The 23,219-nt window shown below is 42.9% G+C and overlaps 1 protein-coding gene and 1 long non-coding RNA gene across 6 annotated transcripts in view; one reads left to right on the top strand and one right to left on the bottom strand.

Annotated features, from left to right (window-relative positions):
- The window catches only part of LOC107985923 (uncharacterized), a 35,693-nt gene extending 15,775 nt beyond the window's left edge, over window positions 1-19,918 (bottom strand). Inside the window, exon 1 of the long non-coding RNA XR_007087152.1 lies at window positions 19,794-19,918. This is a non-coding gene — a long non-coding RNA (uncharacterized LOC107985923). The remainder of the gene's footprint in view (window positions 1-19,793) is intronic.
- Window positions 1,234-21,771, top strand: LYG1 (lysozyme g1). Of its 5 annotated transcripts, XM_047443275.1 has the most exons (9): window positions 1,234-1,369; window positions 2,996-3,116; window positions 4,869-4,959; window positions 7,460-7,550; window positions 10,307-10,381; window positions 13,369-13,473; window positions 14,588-14,772; window positions 21,189-21,321; window positions 21,498-21,771. In XM_047443275.1, exons 5-9 carry the CDS (start codon window positions 10,339-10,341, stop codon window positions 21,614-21,616), a joined length of 585 nt encoding a protein of 194 aa, XP_047299231.1. In that variant the 5' UTR covers window positions 1,234-1,369; window positions 2,996-3,116; window positions 4,869-4,959; window positions 7,460-7,550; window positions 10,307-10,338; the 3' UTR covers window positions 21,617-21,771. The 5 variants fall into 5 exon arrangements, with proteins under 5 accessions (XP_047299231.1, NP_001358309.1, XP_047299230.1 ...); NM_001371380.1 differs by lacking the exon at window positions 2,996-3,116; XM_011510580.2 differs by lacking the exons at window positions 1,234-1,369; window positions 2,996-3,116 and adding an exon at window positions 3,185-3,319.
- Window positions 21,772-23,219: the final 1,448 nt, after the last annotated feature.

Below are 23,219 nucleotides of genomic sequence, written 5' to 3'. Positions count from 1 at the left end.
GGCTGAGGCAGGAGAATGGTGTGAACCCAGGAGGCGGAGGTTGCAGTGAGCTGAGATCACGCTCACTCCATCTGGGTGACAGAGCGAGACTCCGTCTCAAAATAAAAAGATATTATATATTTTGTAAAAGTTTTATTTTTAATTTATACATAAGAATTGCATAGATTTATGGGATAAGTTGTGTAATGATCAAATCAGGGTATTTAGCATATCCATCACCTCAAATTGATGAGAATACTAAATAGCTTCCCTTTTAGATATTTTGTAGTATACACTACAATATTGTTAAATATAGTCACTGCAGTGTGCAATAGGACACCAGAACTTACTCCTCCTATCTAGCTGTAATTTTGCATGCAACCAATCTCTCCCCATTCCTCCCCAGCCTCTAGTAGCCACTATTCTGCTCTTTACTTCTATGAGATCGCCTTTTTTTTTTCTTGAGATGGAGTCTTGCTCTGTTTCCCAGTGCAGTGGCGGGATCTTGGCTTACTGCAACCTCCACCTTCCAGGTTCAAGCAATTCTCCTGCCTCAGCCTCCTGAGTAGCTGGGATTACAGGTGCCCACCACCATGTCCGGCTAATTTTTGTACTTTTAGTAAAGACGGGGTTTTACCATGTTGGCCAGGCTGGTCTCGAACTCCCGACTCAGGTAATCTGCCTGCCTCGGCCTCCCAAAGTGCTGGGATTACAGGCGTGAGCCACCACACCTGGCCATTACACATGATCAACTTTTTTAGATTTCACAAATGGGTGATTTTGTCTTTCTGTGCCTTATTTCACTTAATGTCCTTTAGGTTGATCGTGTTGCTGCAAATGACAGGATTTCATGCTTTTTAATGACAAAATATTATTCCATTATGTGTATATACTGCATTTTCTTTATCCACTCATGTGTTGATGGACACTTAGGATGATTCTGTGTCTTGGCTATTACAAATAATGCTGCAGTCAACATGGGAGTGCATATTTCCCTTTGACATATCCATTTTCTTTGGATACATACCCAGCAGTGAGATTTCTGGGTCATATGCCACTTCTACTTTTAATTTTTTGAGGCATCTCCATACTGTTTTCCATAATGGCTAGATTCGTGTATATACCCACCTAGAGTGTATAAGGGCTCCATTTCTCCATATCTACACCACAATTTGTTATTTTTTCTCTTTAAAAACATTTTTAGATTGAGGTGTACACGTGTAGGTTTGTTACATGGGAGTTAAAACATAATCCTTTCTTTTTCTTTTTCATAAATTGAGACAGGATGTTGCTATGTTGCCCAGGCTGGTCTTGAAGTGCCTTGACCTCCTAAAGTGTTGGAACCACAGACGTGAGCCACTCCACCCAGCCTAAAACTTCATCTTCTTTGGTAAATGTGCTTTCATCTTCAGCATTCCAGACTTAGTACCATCCTCCCAGGCACTTATGTCCTCTTCTTTGCTCTCATCCTTGGCGTCTTGTCCCAAACTGAGTCCTGTCAATTCCACCTCTAAAATAGATCTGTAATATCTTTCCTTTTTCTCTTAGCCACTTTCATGCTGCTGATAAAGACATACCTGAGACTGAGCAATTTACAAAAGCAAGAGGTTTAACAGATTCACAGTTCCACTTGTCTGGGGAGGCCTCACAATCATGGCGGAAGGTGAAAGGCATGTCTCACATGGCAGCAGACAAGAGAAGAGTGAGAGCCAAGTGAAAGGGGTTTCCTCTTATAAAATCATCAGATCTCATGAGACTTATACACTACCATGAGAACAGTATGGGGGAAACTGCCTCCATGATTCAATTGTCTCCCACTGGGTCCCTCCCACAACACAAGGCAATTATGCAAGCTACAATTTGAGATGAGATTTTGGTGGGGACAGAGCCAAATCATATCATTCCACTTCTGACCCCTCCCAAATCTCATGTCCTCACATTTCAAAACCAATCTTGCCTTCCCAACAATCCCCTGAAGTCTCAGGTGCCCCCACCACGCCTGGCTAATTTTTTTGTATTTTTAGTGGAGACGGGGTTTCACTGTGTTAGCCAGGATGTTCTCTATCTCTTGAGCTCGTGATCCGCCTGCCTGGGCCTCCCAAAGTGCTGGGATTACAGGCGTGAGCCACCGTGCCCGGCCGGGGTTTCTTCTTATAAAATCATCAGATCTCTTGAGACTTATTCACTACCAGGAGAACAGTATGGGGGAAACTGCCTCCATGATTCAATTGTCTCCCACTGTGTCCCTCCCACAATGCAAGGGAATTATGGAAGCTACAATTTGAGATGAGATTTCAGTGGAGACACAGCCAAGCCATAGCCCCGTCACTCTAGTCCAACCATCATCTCTCTTCTGGTCTTCTGTGAAGTCTCCCGAGTCACTCTGGCTCACCTCCAATGCAATCAGCAGCCAGGGGACACTTTTTAAAACATAAATCTGACCGTCATGTGCCTGCGGAGTGTCCCGGAGGCTGGATGGAGAACGACCTCCTCAGCTTCTAGGATTCTTAGGGTGGGGACCCAGGTGCAGCAGGTGAGGAGGTGGAAGTCATCATAGAGAGGCAGGGTTTGTGAGAAGCCATTTCGTCTCTGTGGAGCCTTTGCCAGGCAACATGCTGGCTGCTGCCCAGGAGAACCTCCCAGGATGCTAACATGGCCCTCTGGGCTGATGACAGGGTGCTTTTGTAGGTGGAGCTGGGCATCCCCAGATTTCCCCACACTGTAATACCTTTTAATTGTTGGTATGTGCTAGAGCTTGGTGGAAAAAATAAAATGGATGAGTTCCATTTTGGGGGTCAGGATAGAGTTTTTAATGGGTGCATTAGTTCTCTTTTTACCCCAACTCTGCCAACAACCGAGAGGAACCCAGTGTTCTCACACTCCCCTCCCAGAGTTAAAGTTCAGGAACTCCCTGGGTGTCCAAATCTGGACCCTTGCTCACAGTGCCCTGCCTTGTGGTCTCACCATCTCAGTCACAAGTAGAGAAAAACAAAATCTTCTTTTTTTTTTTTTTCAGATGGAGGCTTGCTCTGTGGCCCAGGCTGGAGTACACTGGCATGATCTTGGCTTACTGCAACCTCTCCCTCTTGGTTCAACTGATTCTCCTGCCTCAGCCTCCCGAGTAGCTGGGATTACTGGTGTGTGCCACCATGCCTGGATAATTTTTGTATTTTTAGTAGAGATGGGGTTTCGCCATGTTGGCCAGGCTGGTCCGAACTCCTGACCTCAAGTGATCCACCTGCCTCGGCCTCCCAAAGCGCTGGGATTACAGACGTGAGGCTCTGTGCCCGGCTGAGAATAACAAAATCTTAACCCTCAATGTCTGCACTGGGGATGCAGAGTGAGTGACTTCCAAAAAGTCATAAATACGCTTTAAATCATTCATTTACTCATTCCGTAAACATGTACTGAATACCCCTTATGTGCCATAAGGAATACAGGAGAAAAAAGCCTTTGTTTTTGTTCTCAAGACAACAACAAACCAAAGTGCTGTAGGTGCTATGGTAGAAATATCCACATGTTGCTTGAAACACAAGGAACACACGTCTAACCTGGGGCCCAGCATTGGAAGCCCAGTCCAAATCTTGCTGGGTGAGGTTGTAGGAATTCTTCAGTCATTGACTGATTCAACAAAGATTTACTGAACACTTACAGTGTGCCAGGCTGTTATCTGGGCACTGAAGACTCAGTCTTATAAATGAAGTAGCCAGATTCACAGCTCTCACGGAGCTTGTGTTTGAGTTGTGGTATGGGGAGGGAGCTAAGGCAGGGGATGCAGAAGAAACAGACTGTATACCAGTCAGCCGATAAGCAAGCCATTGATTCCACGTGTTTTACTGAGTGTCTAATATGTATCATGCAGAGTGTTGCATGCTGGTATTATAAAGACGAATGAGACACAGCCCCTGTCCCTGAGGGTTTAGATAAAAAGGAAAGATCCTGTAGGAATGCCTAGTGCAAAGAATGGCGCTGTGTTTGGGGAAAATCAAGCTGTTCAGCTGAGCTGGGGCACAGGGTGTGGTGAGGGAGGGGGCTCCCTCTTTCAGTCATGAAATGCACCCTTTCCACAACTTGGGAAAGAATCCTTCCTGGAAACTTCATATGAACCCTCTCAAAGTACTTATTGATGTAGACATTTGGAACACGCTGTAGGTCCTGGGTGTCTGTAAAATAGCATCATCCAGCCGATCATCTCTCCCCACATTGCTGAACTGAGGACATGTGAACTGGTATCTCTCGGTGGTTCAGAACAGGGGCCAGCAACCTACGGCCCTAGGGCCACCACCTGTGTAGTAAAGAAAGTTTTTTTTTTGGAACACAGTCTTGGCCATTCATTTAAATATTATCTATGATCACTCTCATGCTACAATGTCAGAGGCATTATAAAGACCACGTAGCCCAAAAACCTGTCTGGGTCTGTAAGAAAAAGCTGCCAACCCCTGGTCTAGGCGCTCTGCTTACCTGAAATACAAACCAATAATGAGTTTCTGACACACCAAGTTCAATTCCCTCCCTCCCTTCCTTCCTTCCTTCTTCCTTTTCTTTCTTCCTTCCCTTCCTCCCTTCCTCTTCCCTTCCTCCCTTCCCCTTCTCACTCTCTCTCTCCTTCTCACTCTCTCTCTCTTTCTCTCTCTCTTCCTTCCTTGTTTTCTTACCTAACCCACATTCCCAGAAAATGATGTGAATAAAGACAAGTGTTGGACCTCAATGTGTCAAAGTTAAACTACAACTAGGATCTGCCTTCTGAGGTATGGCAAGAAACAAATTGGTTAATGTTTGCAAAATGCCAGGACATTCTCGAATAAAAGGCCCTATATAAGTTCGGAGTATTTATAATAATTATGATTATTATTATAATTTATGAGATGTCATAAATCTCTCCAAAATAGGATGAGATGAACACTTTTAACAAGAGAACAGGACTCTATATAAATCGCTGTGGGCTCACCACCTCTAAGGAGGAGCACTGACTGAAGACAGGTGAGTGTGAAGCAGAGGCATGGATCTTACACTCGGGCTTATTGAGGATGAAAATCCAGTGTATGGTGATCAGTTGGCAATGATTGTGTCTCTGCTGCATAAGAAATATTGGACTCAGGCGAAACTTAAGGACCTTGCAAAGAAAACCCAAGTTTGAAAAGATTTGTAGATGATAGAATAATTTTTCCTGTTCATTACAACACTCATCAAAATTTAGATATCTTTTAATGCAAGTATGTCATTACTTTTGGATTTGTGAGCATGTGCAAATCGAATAATGGGAGAAAAGAAATGTGTGTGCACTTAACTGTAGCTGTAATAGGGCCAAATGCGACGTCATATTTGTTAACTGAAAGCCAAAAGACTAAGGTGTTTGTATTTTGCCAGACGGTAAATCCCTTGCCTGCCCTCATGGGCAGTCTTGCCAATGCTACATTAACCCATAGACCATGAGTATTGGTTCTATAACAATCTTATTTTCTCTGCAAGCTGTGTAAGAACTAAGGCCAACATGTCTAACAGCCTCGGCTAACAGACTAAAAAGACAGATACGCCTCTAGAGTCCATAGACGGAACAGAGGGGCCAAGTCTCCCTGATTTGCTCTGTGCAGAAGGAAACGTTCACGGGGAAATCTCCAGCATAGGATGATCCTTCCTGGAGTTCTGAACTCTCAAAAACGCAAATGGGAAAAGCAGGCACAGAGGACGCACTGAGAGAAGGAACTCCCTTCCAGCTCACAGTGTCTCTATGCAGGGAAGATTTGCCTGCCCAGAGGGAAGAAAATGATCAAACTTTCAGAGGTCTTCTAGGCTGGTAATTATTGATTACAATCCAAATTCAGTGAATAGGTATTTTCACAGGCCATGTGAAGGTGCAGCTCTACGCAGCGTAACAGCTTAAAATGAGCCTTCCTGTTGCTGCCCTATATTTTTGCTCTAAAAAGTTGTATTTTTCTCAAAAAAAAAAAGATCTTAGTGGCAGAATAATTTTATATTATTTTATATTTGTGACTACATTGCTATTACTATTTTAATTTTAGGCCTGTTGGTGCATAGCAATCTGTGAGGCAATGGGCTGGAGTGTTGCTGTACGTGCATGTGTGTGTGTGTACGTGTGTGTGTGTACGTGTGTGTGTATATATGTAGGGAGGGAGAAGATTAGAATAGCAAGAAGAGGATGAGTACGACATGATGCTACTGGTAAGGCCTTTAAGAAATTTAAAAACTTAAACATTTTAAAAATGGAATAAAATAAATATTTAAAAATTTTAAAAAAACAAAAATTAAAAAAATTAAAAAGTTAAAATAATAAAAAATTAAAAATAATTTTAAAACAGGCCAGGTGTTGGTGGTTCCCAGCACTTTGGGAGGCTGAGGCAGGCAGATTGCTTGAGCCCTGGAGTTTGAGACCAGCCTGGCCAACATGGCGAAACCCCGTCTTTACTAAAAATACAAAAATTAGCTGGGCGTGGTGGCACAGGGCTGTAATCCCAGCTACTCAGGAGGCTGAGGCAGGAGAATCACCTGAGCTCAGGCAGGTCGAGGGTGCAGTGAGCCGAGATCACAGCACTTCACTCCAGCCTAGGTGACAGTCAGACTATGTTTTGAAAAAAAAAAAATTAAAACAATTTTAAAAATTAAAGAGTAATCTAATGAGACATTCTTACAGGCTTATAATGGTGAGATGATTCCACAATTTTGGGCCACTGCACTCCCACCTGGGAGACAGAGTGAGACCTTGTCTCGATTAAAAAAAAAAAAAAAAGAAAAAAAGAAAAAGAAAAAGAAAAAACAAAAAGAAAAGAAAAAGAAAAAAACCCAGGGGCTGGGCGCGGTGGCTCATGCCTATGATCCCAGCATTTTGGGAGGCTGAGGTGGGTGGATCACCTGAGGTCAGGAGTTCTCAACCAGCCTGGCCAACATGGTGAAACCCCATCTCTACTAAAAATACAAAAATTAGCTGGGCGTGGAGTGCCTGTAGTCTCAGCTACTCAGGAGGCTGAGGCAAGATAATCACTTGAATTCAAGAGGCGGAGGTTGCATTGAGCTGAGATCGCACCACTGCACTCCAGCCTGGGCGACAGAGTGAGACTTTGTCTCAAACAAAACAAAGCAAAACCCAACAAAACAAAAAGTAATTAAAATTAAAATTAAAAAATTAAAAAAAGAAAGGCCTGTTGGCACACAATGAGTAGGTAGACACAGAGACATGTTAGCAATAAACAAGGGTGACAACACAGCTTAGAGCAGGAGACCATGCCTAATGTGGATGCATACAGGAGTTCTCAGTTCTCTCAGGATTAGATGGGGACACCACAATGGGGCAGGGGCACCTTCATTGGGCACGTTGAGGTGTTAATACGTCACATTTCTGGGCTGGATGGAGGGCCCCAATGACCTGCAATGATACTGTTCAAGGTAAAGATTGAGAGCATTCATGGAAAAGTTTCTAAGGTGAGAAAACCATAAGACCAAAGATACCTGTTTCTACCTTTTCTAGAAAAATTGATGAACTGAAGAAGACATGGTCCATTATGCCTTACAAACTTACACAGTGCTTTGGGAATTCCAAAGTACTCAGTGGAGAGAGGGTGAGTAGAGGAAGATGTCCCCATCAAAGCCACCAGGAACATGAGGTAGCTCCTGAGGGATGCTCTGGTTGTCAGTTTCCAGTGTGCCTGGCAGGCCTGTTGCCCCAGCTTGTTGACACCCCCTTGCTGTTTGTTACTATTTTGCTCTCTGGGAAGGGAGAAGAGGGATGCTACCATAAACATTGTGCTTGACATCATGACCACTGTGCTGCCTTGGTCTGACATCTTCATAATGGTTTTAAGCAGGGAGCCACAGGGGAATTAACAAATGAGTCATAGGGAACTGACAGACACTCTTTGAGCACACCCGAGTGATGTCTCAACAATCTCTTCTAAACACAGAGTACTTTTCGTCACTTGTAAAGTTGGGCCATAGAGTTTGGGTTGCTTCAATATGCTGTATTTATGGACAAAATGACATTGTTCATCCATTTAAGAATTCCAAGCTAGGTGTGGTGGCTTGAGCCTGTAACCCTACCTACTCAGGAAGCTGAGGTGGAAGGATCACTTGAAGCCTGGAGTTCAAGACCAGCCTGGGCAACATAGTGAGACCCATTTCTACATAAAAACTAAAAAATTATCTGGGCATGGTGGCATACACCTCTAGCCCCAGCTACTTGGGAGGCTAAGGTGGGAGTATCACTTGAGCCCAGGAGGTCAAGGCTGCAGTGAGCCGTGATCGTGCCATTGCACTCCAGCCTGGGTGACAGAGTAAAACTCTGGCTCTAAGAAAAAAAAGAAAAATTCCATTGTCACTTCTTGCTCTTCCCTGATGAAATTGAAAAACTTTACCTTGATGACCTGGTCCCAGGAGCAACTAGAAAGTAATTCTGTGTTCCCATTAAGTGGCACATGTATTTACATAGACTCTTTCATTAAAGTGACTTCTCAACACAGATATTTAGTTCCAAGCATGGAAAATACGGTAGCTCTCCTGTTACAATAAAAGCTGAGTCCTTCCACTTGGGTTTCCAAGAGGAAGTATTTTTTCTTTCCTGGAAAAGCAGCAAAAAGAGTGAAATACCCTGGGTGGAGCATTTGAATGTGAGCAGTGCTTTTTCCTGAAGGGTCCTTCCATAAAGCCAGTGATGCACTTTCATGAGACCATGAGCTTTTCCTATACCCAAGCAGCTCTTTGTCCATTCTTTTCTCCTGGGATTGGTTGTCCTCTCTTGTTTACTGCTGGAGGCTCAGGATGCTGAATAAATGACTCCTGTTGGGTGATTAAATCTGAGCGTTCCTGCAGACCCAGCTAAGATTCCAGGTCCCTGAATCTTTTTGGTGTTGGGACTGACCATGACATTTTGTGCTCAACTAAGCAAAATCGGACAGACCATCTCAATGTTGTAGAGAGAATAACAAAAAGCATGACTGCAACTGAAGGGCATATGCCCCCTCAGTTTAAGAAGACAGAAATCGAATAACTTCCTTTTTCTTTTTTGAGACAGGCTCTTGCTCTGTTTCCCAGGATGGAGTGCAGTGGTGTGATCATAGCTCACTGCACCCTTGACCCTCTGGGCTCAAGCAGTCCTCCTGCCTCAGCCTCCCAAGTAGCTAGGACTACAGGTGTATGCCACCACACCTGGCTTCAAATGACTTCCTTAAAGCCTCTCCATCTTGAGATGTGATCTCTTCCTGGGTGTTTGAAAGAAACAACCCATAAGGTTAACCTCAAAACAAAAGAGATGAGAGAAGCATTATGAAAGTACCAAGTGCCTTGTTTATATGCACATTCCTACATGTAATGACAGTAATAATTCAAAATGCTAGGCTGCCAGGCTCTGCTGACTGGGGCAATGATGACATACACCCTGGAGTGGCAGGGCTTGGTGGGAGGCGCTTTGGAGGCAAAGGTCCAGAAACTCTACCATTCCCTGAGGTTAACAGCAAACTATCCTTGGTGGTATTTGTGTATTGGTTTGGTAGCCAGTAGGAGAACCAGGGCTGTTTGTACTCATGGAAGGTGATTAGGGGAATGGTTGGGATAAGAGAGAGAGAGAGCACATGAGCGGGTGCTCCATGTTGGCCACGTGTTCATTCTCCAGTCTTGTGAGCACCTCATGAGTTCAATCCTGGGACCCCTGCCCATGAGCCAGCTTCTTGGGGATTTGCTGGTGGAGGTAGCTCCATTCTCCCTGGGCTCTGGTCCAGGTTTGTTGCCGCATTGGGGTTTTACAGAGGGGGAATGGGGAACATGGCTCAAGGTGATAAAGGGGGTCTGTGATTCCAGGCTGGGGTTAGAGCAGTGGGAAACGTCTTCCAACCAGTGTACATTCCAGGGCACTGAGGAAAGCGTGGTCTTTCCTCAAACCTGAAGAAGAAGGGACCTAAATTCCAAGAAGTCACCAATACAAAATTCTCCTTTTGATAATGGAGATAATAAAAAGGCTCTTGGGATGAGGTATGGGCATCAGAAATTTGCTTTTCAGGGTCTGGAGCCAGGTCAGTATGTTTCTTGGTGGTTGAGATTCAAAGTGTCTTGCCTTCTTGAAATAAAGTAGTTAGTAACTTGACTGTATGTTGAGTTCCTGTGGGCTGAGTAAGAGTCTTCTCATTTTTAGATTAATTGAAAGGATGAATGGAGCACTTACTTGTCCTACTTTTGCTTTTTTTTCACTATGATTCAAATAATTCATTTTCTTAGGTCAGATATGGGGAAATTTGTTCTTTTCACCCCTGCTTCTGTGGAAATATTACATGTGGTTATGATGATGACTGATATTTTTGTATTCTCAAGCTAATTTTTGTTTTAAAAGTGTTTCAGGAGCCGTAGAGCCAGATCGTCATCATGTCTGCATTGTGGCTGCTGCTGGGCCTCCTTGCCCTGATGGGTGAGTGTGGCTGATTTTTACAAATGACTTTGGAGATGGGAAGGATAAGCACAGGAACACAATGGCACTTCTAATACTTGAAAATGCAACAAAAAAGATTATTTTTTCCCTAAACTGTCCAACAAATCCTGGAGTTAGGAACAGCCACCAACAATCAGCCTCTCCCCAAATGTCCCACAAAAGATTGGGGTTCTCTGGAATGCAAGGTGGGCTTAAAACAGCACTGCTTGAAGCCAGACTTTAAATATACACCATCAATAGCTGCTCATTGTCCACTATAAAAAATGCCAAATTGAATTTATTCCTAAAGCATTTATTTCCATAGAAGAATTGAGGTGGTTGCCAGAATAAGACTAATGAATAAGACTAATTCAAATAGAAAACCAGAATCAAGGCAACCGAGTACACATGACTAAGCTAATCACTGAGGCTGATTTAGTTGCTGTGATTGAACTTCAGCTTTGCAGCTGGAGGAAAAAGGGAAAGTACTTGTTTTTGTTGGTTTGCTTTTGTTTTTGTTTTTTTTGAGATGGAATTTTGCTCTTTCACCCAGGCTGGAGTGCAGTGGTGCAATCTCAGCTCACTGGAATATCTGCCTTCCGGTTTCAAGCGATTCTCCTGCCTCAGCCTCCCAAGTAGCTGGGATTACAGGCGCCTGTCACTACACCCGGCTAATTTTTGTATTTTTAGTAGAGACAGGGTTTCACCATGTTGGCCAGATTGGTCTCAAACTCTTGACCTCGTGATCTGGCCTCCCAAAGTGCTGGGATTACAGGGTGATCCACTGCGCCCAGCCTACTTGTTTTTTAATAAATAAAAGGAGGAAGCAAAGTTCCTCAGGAGAAGCTAAATTTTCCTGACTCTAAATTTAATAGATTTCTTAGATGAGGTCTCATAGTCATTCATTTAGTTATTGACCCATTCATTCAACAAATATTTAAAAATGCCTACAAGGTGCTAAGCATTGGGAATACAAAGAATTTTGAGGATCATAGAGTGTGGCTAGGGAGAGGTCCACAAGGCAGGAACCAAGGAGTGATAAAACCAACTGCAGTACTAAGGGTATTTGTCACCAGTCATAAAGATAAAAGTGCACTGATTAAAAAATAAAAAAGAACCTGTCAGCTGGTTTAATTTTTAGTATATTCATAAAAGATCTAGTCTTTTCATTTCCACATTTTTCTTAGGTTACTTATCACAAGTTTGTAAAGTAGAAGTATTTACTCCAAAAGACGAGTATTTATCAACCCCATAAAGTTCTAAGAAAGTAGAACCTGAAAATGCATTTATGTAAACACACAGGACACATATGATTATAGGCAATAGATATATCTCCAAAGATCTGCAAATCATTAAGGTTTGATAATCTAATCTACTTTAGTCAAAGGATCAAATAGATTAAACAGAGTAAACCAGGTGTATGCGGTGGCTCATGCCTGTAATCCCAGAACTTTGGGAGGTCGAGGCGGGCAAATTGCTTGAGCTCAGGAGTTTGAGACCAGCCTGGGCAACAAGGCAAAACCCCATCTCTTCAAAAAATTACACAGGTGTGTTGGCTTGTGCCTGTGGTCCCAGCTACTTGAGAGGCTGAGGTGGCAGGATAGCTTGAACCTGGGAGGTTGAGGCTGTGGTGAGCCATGATCATGCCACTACACTCCAGCCTGGGTGACAGTGAGACCCTGTCTATAGATAAATTAATTAATTAATTAATTAATTAAAGAGTAATCTAATGAGACATTCTTACAGCCTTATAATGGTGAGATGATTCTCAAAAGGAGCAATTTCCTGCCTACTGTAGGTATCTTAGTACTGACTCATGTGTCCCCATTCTGGTGTGAATTGTAGATATATTATAAATACTTGTGTACCCACCTTGTGTGAATTGTAGATCTAAATACTCATGCACTCTCCTCCTGGTGTGAAGAGAAAGAACATTCTCCTCTTCAATGGCCTTTGTGAAATCCCGAGTGTCTGAAACCACTCCTCCCCTTCAGTGATGACTAGAATGACAGAGGTAGAGAGAGATGGAAAGGAGAAAGAGATAAAGGGAAGAAGTGGAAAGTGGGTGATCCCATGTGGAGACTGGTCCCATGCCTCTCTCCTTCACTCCCTTCTGCAGCCTTAGGCTCTTATCTAGAAGTGTACCTGAGAGAAAGTGTAGCCAGCCTCAAATCCTCATTTACGAGCAGTGCCTTACTTTGGATCTGGGTTGATATCCCAGAGAGATCCAGGTTTTATACTTGTTTCTCCAGAGCAAACATAAATATTTCATCAGAGCAACAAGTTAGGAGTATTTGACGGAGAAGTGCTCAGAGTTCATATAAGATGAAAGAAGAGGCTGGGCGCGGTGGCTCACGCCTGTGATCCCAGCACTTTGGGAGGCCGAGGCGGGCGGATCACTTGAGGTCAAGAGTTCGAGACCAGCCTGGCCAACATGGTGAAACCTCGTCTCTACTAAAAATACAAAAATTAGCTGGGCGTGGTGGCATGCACCTGTAATCCCAGCTACTTGGGAGGCTGAAGCAGGAGAATCACTTGAACCCAGAAGGCAGAGGTTGCAGAGAGTCGAGATCGTGCCACTGCACTCCAGACTAGGCGACAGAGCCAGACTCCATCTCAAAAAAAAAAAAAAAAAAAAAAAAGTAAGATGAGGACTACTTTACAGGGAACAAATCCTCTCCTTTGTGTTCCAAGATACCACCTGACAACATCAAAGGGCACCAGAGCTTTACAAAGAGTGTAACTGCTTCAATAGCTCCAGTAGTTACTCATGTCTGCAGGGGAGCAGGTGAGAATTTGGTATTGAGGAAGTTTTTGTGATCATTTATGGGATATTTCTCATTTAAATTTCAAGAGTTTCAATTGCAGAGTGAAGGTGATGTAATGGATTTTATTATTGTTACTTTTATTAATGTAATTTTATTCATGGACAGAAGAATGATGAGAACTAGTTCCATGCCTTAGGCTGAACTTTTCTCAACTTGTAGACTTGTCTGAAAGCAGCAACTGGGGATGCTATGGAAACATCCAAAGCCTGGACACCCCTGGAGCATCTTGTGGGATTGGAAGACGTCACGGCCTGAACTACTGTGGTAGCTATGAGCTTTCGCCCTCTCAACCTATCCCCCGGCTTTCACTGTTTCCCATGCCTCACGCTACTGAGTGTTGGAAAGAGTTCCGGGTATGGGGTCCCAAAGCTCTGCTTCTTGAACAAGTCACTTAGCTGCCCCTGCATCCGTGGCAAGGCGGCTAGCAGTACGGTATTTACAGTGTTGTTGTGAGCTCTGATTGACACAATGTGGACAAGGGTGCTTTTTATTTTTTATTTTTATTTATTTTTTTTGAGATAAGTTTCTGTCTTGTTGCCCAGGTTGGAGTGCAATGGTGCAATCTCAGGTCACTGCAACCTCCACCTCCCCGGTTTAAGCGATTCTCCTGCCTCAGCCTCCAGAGTAGCTGGGTTACAGGCATGTGCCACCATGCCTGGCTAATTTTGTATTTTTAGTAGAGATGGGATTTCACCATGTTGGTCAGGCTGGTCTCGAACTCCTGACCTCAGGTGATCCTCCCTCTTTGGCCTCCCAAAGTGCTGGGATTACAGGTGTGAGCCACTGCGCCCGGCCGAGGGTGCTTTTTAAACCATAAAAGCACCTAGAAGGTAAGGCTAGCTAAGTAGATTAATATTGGCTTTCCTTTTGCCCAGCATTCTTATTATTTCAGAAAGGTTTAAACTTGCATGATTTGTTGGTATCGTTTAGGAGTGGAAAACTGTGCAATTGTGAACAAACTTGTTGAGGAACACTATCTAAAGACTTATTGAAGGGTTTGCAGAATTTCTCCTTCATGTCAGGTTGCAGCTGATAGGCAGGCACATTTCATTTTATTGGGGTGCTTAGAATGGGACCAATGGTTCCTATGGCCATGGAATTGTCCTGGGTGGGCCAGAGCAGCCCCTGAGAGCCCAGTCGAAGGGCACTGACAGCCACAGGGGACCCTGGCTCAGGGGATGCTGACTCAAGCTCACAGGAGGAGAGCCCTAACCTCAGGTCAGGGAGTGGCCACTACTAAAGATTTAAGACCAAAATCTGGGATTGTCAGTCCTCGACCATTACTCAGATCCTTGGATTGTTCTTTCTCTCTCCCCTTGAGCTCCTGTTGCAGCATAAGTCACAACAAGCTGCATCATTCCTTTTGCGTTTGGTTTAGGAGTTCGTGCTTCTGAAAGGCTGGCTGAAATAGACATGCCATACCTCCTGAAATATCAACCCATGATGCAAACCATTGGCCAAAAGTACTGCATGGATCCTGCCGTGATCGCTGGTGTCTTGTCCAGGAAGTCTCCCGGTGACAAAATTCTGGTCAACATGGGCGATAGGACTAGCATGGTGCAGGTAACTCTTCATCCGTTGACACATGTGGCCATTCTGCTATGTGGCACCACTGCTTTGTTTTTTGGATGATGGCAAAGCTTCACAGAACACAGCATGAATGAAGGTCTCTAGAGCTGTGACAGTGACAGTTCTGCCTGAGAGATATGAGCAGCAACATTTCTGTTTCATGTTGAGCCACAATTTCTTTTCACAGTAAATAATGCCGTGTTTCCAGAATATCATCCGGGCCACCCTATTCTGGATTTCTGGACCTAAGTGGTCCAAGAGAAAGATCACAGATTAAATCTTTCCTCAGTTACTTTGTAGCCACATGGCCTTGAATAAGTCATTTAATCTCACTGGGCCTTAGTTTCTCTACCTATAAAATGCCATTCTTACAGCATTATTATGAAGATTCCATGAAACAATGCAAAAAAGTACCTGATATCTGTTGGATTCTCAAAAAATGTTAAATTTATTTTCCTTTACCTTTTTCTATACAATTCTTAGTTCTGAAGATTGAGTTTTATTTTTGCATGAATTCCGTCTGGTGTCACTTGCCAGATAGAGACTTCTGGGGAATGGTCACTAATCCACTGTTGAATTAACTCTGCGCCAGGGAATCAGTGATGGCAAGGGTGAGAATGAGGCTTGATTTTTTCCATTGATCTCACACTGCTTTTGTGGTTGTTGTTGAGGAACCTGTGAGTATTGCAGTCTTTTTTTTAAGATTTTAGAAAAATTTATTTCTCAATGATCTCTCCAAATTTGCTTCCCTTGACTTTTTTGTATGATACTTTTAAAGTACTTTCAAATACTTTATTTTACTTCGATTTGGAGACCCATCCAATAATCTGATAAGATGAGGTGAGGGACACGTAATCCATCCTTGACAAGTGAGGAAATAGAATCACAAGGAAGGAGTTGCTGCTACAAAGTCACATGGCAGCTGCAAGAGGCAGAACTGGGACTGAATATCTTGTGATGTTAGGGCTGGCATCATTTCTGCTGCGCTGTTCTGTCTCCTTTGTAAAATCTGGCTTTTGAGGAAAGGATGAGTCCATTTCCTTTGAAGATGAAATAAGAATTCCCTAGATTTGGGTCAGGCGCAGTGGCTCATGCCTATAATCCCAGCACTTTGGGAGGACGAGGAGGGTGGATTACATGAGGTCAGGAGTGCGAGACCAGCCCAGCCAACATGGTGAAACCCCATCTCTACTAAAATTCAAAAATTAGCTGGCCATGGTGGTGCATGCCTGTAATTCCAGCTACTTGGGAGGCTGAGGTGAGAGGATTGCTTGAACCTGGGGGGTAGAGGTTGCAGTGAGCTGAGATCATGCCACTACACTCCAGCCTGGGCGAGAGAGCGAGACTCCATCTCAAAAAACAACAACAACAACAACAACAACAACAACAAACAAGAGAATTCTCTAGATTTGGACATTTCTCCCAAATATGATGAAACCTACATGGAAGTGATAATCAAAGGCGTATAAGAAGGGTTAGAAGTCCCTTTAGACGTTCAGACTATCTGGAAAAAGAATTACAAGTTCAGACAGAAAAATCCCTTTCTGGACTGTTTGGAGGGTTTGCACTGGCAGCATTGAAGGAGGGCATCACACTGCTACCTACACTAACTCAGTCATTAACTGAGTTACACCCTTAAGCTGAAGCAGCAGTGAAAGGTCTGCTCATCCCTTCCTTAGCCCAAACCTTGTAACTTGACTATCTTTTTTCTTTGGCAAGAACACCACTTAACATTAACATGAGATCTATCATCTTAACAGATTTTTTTTTTTTTTAAGACAGGGTCTGGCTCTGTCACCCAGGCTGGAGTATAGTGGTATGATCTTAGCTCACTGCAACCTCTGCCTCCTGGGCTCACACGATCCTCCTCAGCCTCCCAAGTAGCTGGGACTACAAGCATGCACCACCATGCCTGGCTAATGTTTGTATTTTTTGTAGAGATGGGGTTTCATCATGTTGCCCAGGCTGGTCTCGAACTCCTGGACTCAAGTGGTCTGCCTGCCTCAGCCTCCCAAAGTGCTGGGATTACAGGTGTGAGCCACTTTACCCGGCCACAGATTTTTGTTTTTTAAGTCTAGTTTACTGACTCTCGAAGCTTATTGTGCATATGAACACCTGGAGCTCTTGTTTACATGAGAATTCTGATTCAGTAGGTCTGAAATGGGGCCCAAAGTTCTGCAATTCTAATAAATAAGTTCTCAGTTGTTGCTGATGTTGCTGGTTCCCGGACCACATTTTAAGTAAAACCCAGGGTATAGGTTTGGTCAATATGATGGGTGCTGGAAGCAGTGGTGGGGAGACAAAGGATCAGAGAGTCCTTGCCTTATTTAGGGTGAGACATAGTTTCGGTTACAAAATAGGCTGGGCACAGTGGCTCACGTCTTTAAAATCCCAGCACTTTGGGAGGCTGAGGCGGATGGATCATTTGAGGTCAGGAGTTTGAAACCAGCCTGGCCAACAAGGTGAAATCCTGTCTTTACTAAAAATACAAAAATCAGTCAGGCAGTAGTGGCAGGTGCCTGTAATCCCAGCTACGCAGGAGGCTGAGGCAGGAGAATCGCTGGAGCCTGGGAGGCGGAGGTTGCAGTGAGCTGAAATCACGCCACTGCACTCCAGTCTGGGCGAGAGAGTGGGACCCTACCTCTAACAATATTAATAATAATAATAGTTAAGACAAGAGTAAAAAGGAATGTAGAAAAAGAGAGACACATTGAAATAACAAATTAAGATGATAGTAGCAACTACACGATATTAATAATGGCAATAAATATAAATATAGGAAACCTACTGGTTTAAAGACACAGATGTATGAACGAGATTAAAAGCCCAAATCCAGATTTACATGGTTTATGTGAGAAACACTTAAAGCATTTGAATATGCAAAAGTTTGAAGTAAAAGTATGGTAAAAAGAAGACCTATCAGGAATACAATAATCAAAATAATGTTGATAACTATGATATATTAAATAAAATACACTTTAGAAGAAAAAATATTTGGTATGGAGAGAATTATGACATAACAAAAAAGATTGAATTTATCCAGGACATACAGCAATTTAAAACAAGTAGATGCCAGTAAAATAGCCTCAAAATATATGCAGCATAAATTATTATTACTATAATAATAAACCTGCTATCATAATGGGAAATTTCAACACATCTCTCTTGATTATTTACAGGTTATACAATAAACAAACCAGCAAAGATATAGAAGAAAAATAAGTAAAACAATTAACACATGTAATAAGAACACAATTAAGAGGCTTGATTGTTAATTGGGGAGGGAGGGAGAGCAGGAGAGAAAAATGAGGGGGATGTAATTATTTACGTATCCATTAGGATATACACAATTGTTTCCTGCACATGAGGAACATTTTACAAAAGTTGATCATATATCATCTATTAAAGAAATCCTCAAAAATTTCAGATATCACAATAATACAATTATGCTAGAAGATAATTTTAAAAATTAAAAATATCTCTGATCATATGGAAATTTAAAATACATGCACACACACACACATACACAACACTAAGTAACTCTTAGGTTAAAGAAACAAATCATAGTGAAACTTAAAAATAACTAAAACAGGATGATAGAGAAACACTAGATATTAGAAACTATGAGATATGGTAAAAATGCTTTAAGGGAGATTTACAGTCACAAACCTAATATTAAAAAAAAAGAAAGCCTTTTTTCCAACCTTTAAGTTCAGGGGTTTATGTGCAGGTTTGTTCCACAGGTAAACGTGTGTCATGGGGGTTTGTTGTACAGATTATTTCATCACCCAGGTATTAAGCCTGTACCCTTTAGTTATTTTTCCTGATCCTCTCCCTCCTCCCACACTCCACCCTCCAATAGGCCCCAGTGCGTGTTGTTCCCCTGTATGTGTCCATGTGTTCTCATCATCTAGCTCCCACTTACAAGTGAGAACATGTGGTATTTGGTTTTCTGTTTCTGTGTTAGTTTGCTAAGGATAATGCTGGCTACAGATGTGTAAACATACAATACAGTGTTGTTAATTATAGGCACAATGTCATACATCAGATCTCTAGAACTTACTTGTCTTGCATGACTAAAATTTTATACCCATTAATTAGCAACTCCCAGTTTCCCTCTCCCCATCAGCCCCTGGCAACCATCATTCTATTCTTTGCTTCTATGAACTTAACTATTTTAGATACCTCATATAAGTGAAATCATGCAGTATTTGTCCTGTGACTGGCTTATTTCACTTACATAATGTCCTCAAGATTCATCTATGTTGTCATATAATGCAGGATTTCCTTCTTTTTAAGGTTGAATAATCTTCCATGATATGTGTATACCACATTTTCTTTATTCATTCATCTGTCAGGTACATTTAGGTTGTTTCTACCTCTTGGCTATTGGGAATAGCTTTGCAATGAATGTGGGAGCTCAGATATCTCTTTGAGATCCTGATTCCAATTCTTTTGGATGAATACCCAGAAAGGGGATTACTAAATCATATGGTATTAATTTTTACTTTAATTTGTTTTATTTTTTGAGACAGTCTCACTCTTGTTGCCCAGGCTGAAGTATAATGGCATTATCTCAGCTCACTGCAACCTCCACCTCCTGGGTTCAAGCAATTCTCCTGTCCCAGCCTCCCGAGTAGCTGGGATTACAGGCGCCCACCACCACACCTGGCTAATTTTTGTATTTTTAGTAGAGATGGGGTTTCACCATTTTGGCCAGGCAGGTCTCAAACTCCTGCCTGGTGAGCCCACCTGCCTTGGCCTCCCATAGTGCTGGGATTACAGGTGTGAGCCACTGCACCCAGACCATATGGTAGTTCTAATTTTAATTTTTTGAGAAACCACAGTACAGTTTTCCATGGTAGCTGCACCATTTTGCATTGCCATCAACAATGTACAATGATTTCAGTTTCTCTACATCCTCACCAACCCTAGTTGTCTTAGTCTGTTTTCTGTTACTTATTACAGAATACCTAAATATGGGTAATTTATGAAAAATAAAATTTATTACTTACAGTTCTGGAGGCTGGGGACCCCAAGGTCAAGGGGACACATCTGGTAGAGCCTTCTTGCTGGTGGGGACTCTTTGCAGAGTCCCAGGGTGGCTCAGGGCCTCACATGGTGAGAGGCTGAGTGTGCTGGCTTAGTCTCTCTTCCTCTTCTTATAAAGCCACCAGCCTCACTCCTGTGATAACCATTAACCCACTAATCTATTAATCTATTCATAGATTAATCTAATCACCTCTTAAAAGCCCCACCTCTCAATACTGCCACATCGGGGATTAAGTTTCAACATGAATTTCACAAGGGACAAGCATTCAAATTATAGCACCTGTCTTTTGCATTTTTGACAGTAGCTATTCTAACAGGTATAAATGGCTTTACTGTCTGATCTCCAGGTGTTGTTGGAGGGCCAGTTCAAGTTCTTGACTTTGCCGCACAGAAGAATTTGGGCACGAGTCCAAATTAAAAGTAGGCGAAGAAGTTTATTGCAAAGCAAAACTACACTCTGGTAGCTGGGTGGAGAATGAGACAGCCTCATGTGACATTGGGAAAATCCCTTCATGGAAAGCTTATATGATTATTCATAAGACAGAGGGGATGGTTATTGCTGTTAAGCATGTTTCAGGGTCTCCGGGATGCACATGCGCTATTGTTGTGCATGCTAGCACATACATCGCGTGTCTCAGCATTTTAATTCTCCACCCAGGAGTGTGCTTTTTTTTCACTCTTACAATGAGCATAGGTCAGCCCAAGGACACTAATCATGGGTTTCTGTGCTTGCATGGATTTGGGAATTTTCCCTTCTGTTCTTTGTCTCCTTACTGCAAATATTTTTTTTTTTTTTTTAAGACAGGGTCTCACTCTGTCACCCAGGATGGAATGCAGTGGTGCAATCATGGCTCACTGCAACCTCTGCCTCCCAGGCTCAATTGATCCTCTTAGGCTCAGGTGATCCTCCCACCTCAGCCTCCCAAGTAGCTGGGATTACAGGCACACACCACCACGCCCAGCTAATTTTTGTATTTTTTGTTGAGATGAAGTTTTCCCATGTTGCTGAGGCTCGTCTCGAACTCCTGAGCTTAAGTGATCCACCTACCTTGGCCTCCCAAAGTGCTGGGATCACAGGCATAAGCCACCGTGTCTGGCACTGTAGGATATTCTGACCATGTAGTTTGTGCACTGTCAGTGGTTTGTTCTCTCCACCTGTCTGGCAAATTTGTTCCCCATAAGGGAGGCTATGACCACCCTATCTAACCTACCTCACAGGAGACTGACGGTGGCATTGGTTCCATCAAAGGTGAAAGGAGAACAAGAGACAGGAAATGAACAAGCGCCATTGAGCCCAGTAAGCCGGATCACCCTCCCACCCAGCTTACGTGGCTTCTTCTCTGCCTCCTTCCCTGCAGGACCCTGGCTCTCAAGCTCCCACATCCTGGATTAGTGAGTCTCAGGTTTCCCAGACAACTGAAGTTCTGACTACTAGAATCAAAGAAATCCAGAGGAGGTTTCCAACCTGGACCCCTGACCAGTACCTGAGAGGTACGTGTAACGCTATCAGTCAGTTGTCTCAAGCACAGAATTAATAGGGACAAATATAATACATTGCACCAGATTCCCCGAAACTCCAGCTGCCTCCTGTTAGGTAGTTAGTAAAGAGAATCAGAGTTAACTGCTGAGTACCCTAGGTCAGCATTAACCTATCTCATGCATTTCAGGTGGACTCTGTGCCTACAGTGGGGGTGCTGGCTATGTCCGAAGCAGCCAGGACCTGAGCTGTGACTTCTGCAATGATGTCCTTGCACGAGCCAAGTACCTCAAGAGACATGGCTTCTAACATCTCAGATGAAACCCAAGACCATGATCACATATGCAGCCTCAAATGTTACACAGATAAAACTAGCCAAGGGCACCTGTAACTGGGAATCTGAGTTTGACCTAAAAGTCATTAAAATAACATGAATCACATTAAAGGAAGAATTTTGACCTGCATTTATAATATGTAGTGTATGTCTGTGTGGATCAAGGGCCGTGTTTCTTTAAAGGTATTCTCATGGACATTAGCCATGCTGTGGGTTTTCTGTGAAGTGAATTTTATTTTTCACTGACTGGCGTTGCCAGATTTAGCAAACAAAATGTAGGAAGCCCAGGTTAAATTTGAATTCCAGAGAAATGACAAATAATTTTTTAGTATAAGTCCCACACAATATTTAGAACACATTTACACTAACAAATTATTAACTGTTTATTTAAAATTCAAAATTATCTGGGCTTCCTATATTTTATCTGGCAACCCTAACATTAACTTCTTTGATAAAAGTCAGTGTTTCACATTTTAATTGAAAAATTTTGATGAGAAAAAGGGTAAGATGGCAGCCAGCCCCATATACTGTATGAAATGGCTTTAGGAAAGTCACTTGCTAACTTTCTGGCATCATCTTAACCCTAGAATTGTCTCTCTGTCATGAAAGTTATTGTCTCCTTTCCTTTCCTGGACAACTGAACCTTCTCCTACACCCAAACTCCCTAATTTTCCTGCCCAAATTGTCTCTAACTCAGCTAAACTATTCCCTAGTTTGGGGGCACTTAAGTCACCAAGAGAGCCAGGCCATGGGAGGTAATTCATCAGCCGGAGCTGCCCCCAAGCACATTGGCTGTGCACCGTACTAGTAAATTACTGAATTTGAAGATTTATATTCTATAAAAGTTATTCATGTCCCATTCTATTATCTGTACAATATCAGCACTTTACAGATTGAGAAAGATGATATAGCAACTAACAAATCCTACTGAATCCTCTATCTGCAGCCACTGCATTAAGAACTATAAAACCAGGATGCAAAGACATTGTCCTTGTTCACAAAGGCTCCTGTATTAGTCCATTATCACAGTGCTATAAAGAACTGCCTGAGACTTGGTAATTTGTAAAGGAAGAGGTTTAATTGACTCGCAGTTCCGCATGGCTGGGGAGGCCTCAGGAAACTTACAATCATGGCAGAAGGGGAAGCAAACACATCCTCTTCATATGATGGCAGGAAGGAGAAGTGCCAAGCAAAGAGGGAAAAGCCCCTTATGAAACCATCAGATCTTGTGAGAACTCACTCACTATCATAGAACAGCAGCATGGAGGTAATGGGAATGTGGGGATTATGGGAACTACAATTCAAGATGAGACTTGGGCAGGGACACAGCCAAACCATATCAGCTCCTTTTCTAATTCAGATACAGAAAATTAGTTAAGAACACAATAAGCTAATTTCGCTAAAGAAGAAATAAAAAATATCAGCCGGGCGCGGTGGCTTACGCCTGTAATCCCAGCACTTTGGGAGGCCGAGGCGGGTGGATCAGGAGGTAAGGAGATCGAGACTATCCTGGCTAAAACGGTGAAACCCCATCTCTACTAAAAATACAAAAAATTAGCCGGGCGTGGTGGTGGGCGC

Source organism: Homo sapiens, chromosome 2, assembly GCF_000001405.40.
Source record: "Homo sapiens chromosome 2, GRCh38.p14 Primary Assembly".
Taxonomy (NCBI): Eukaryota; Metazoa; Chordata; class Mammalia; order Primates; family Hominidae; genus Homo; species Homo sapiens.
This window is presented reverse-complemented; position numbering and strand designations above follow the sequence as displayed.

Coding starts and splice junctions, on each gene's coding strand:
- LYG1 (XM_047443274.1), top strand. CDS start 10,339: ATGTCTGCATTGTGGCTGCTGCTGGGCCTCCTTGCCCTGATGG. Junction 10,382..13,368: donor GGGCCTCCTTGCCCTGATGG/GTGAGTGTGGCT, acceptor CTCAACTTGTAG/ACTTGTCTGAAAGCAGCAAC. Junction 13,474..14,587: donor TCACGGCCTGAACTACTGTG/GTAGCTATGAGC, acceptor CGTTTGGTTTAG/GAGTTCGTGCTTCTGAAAGG.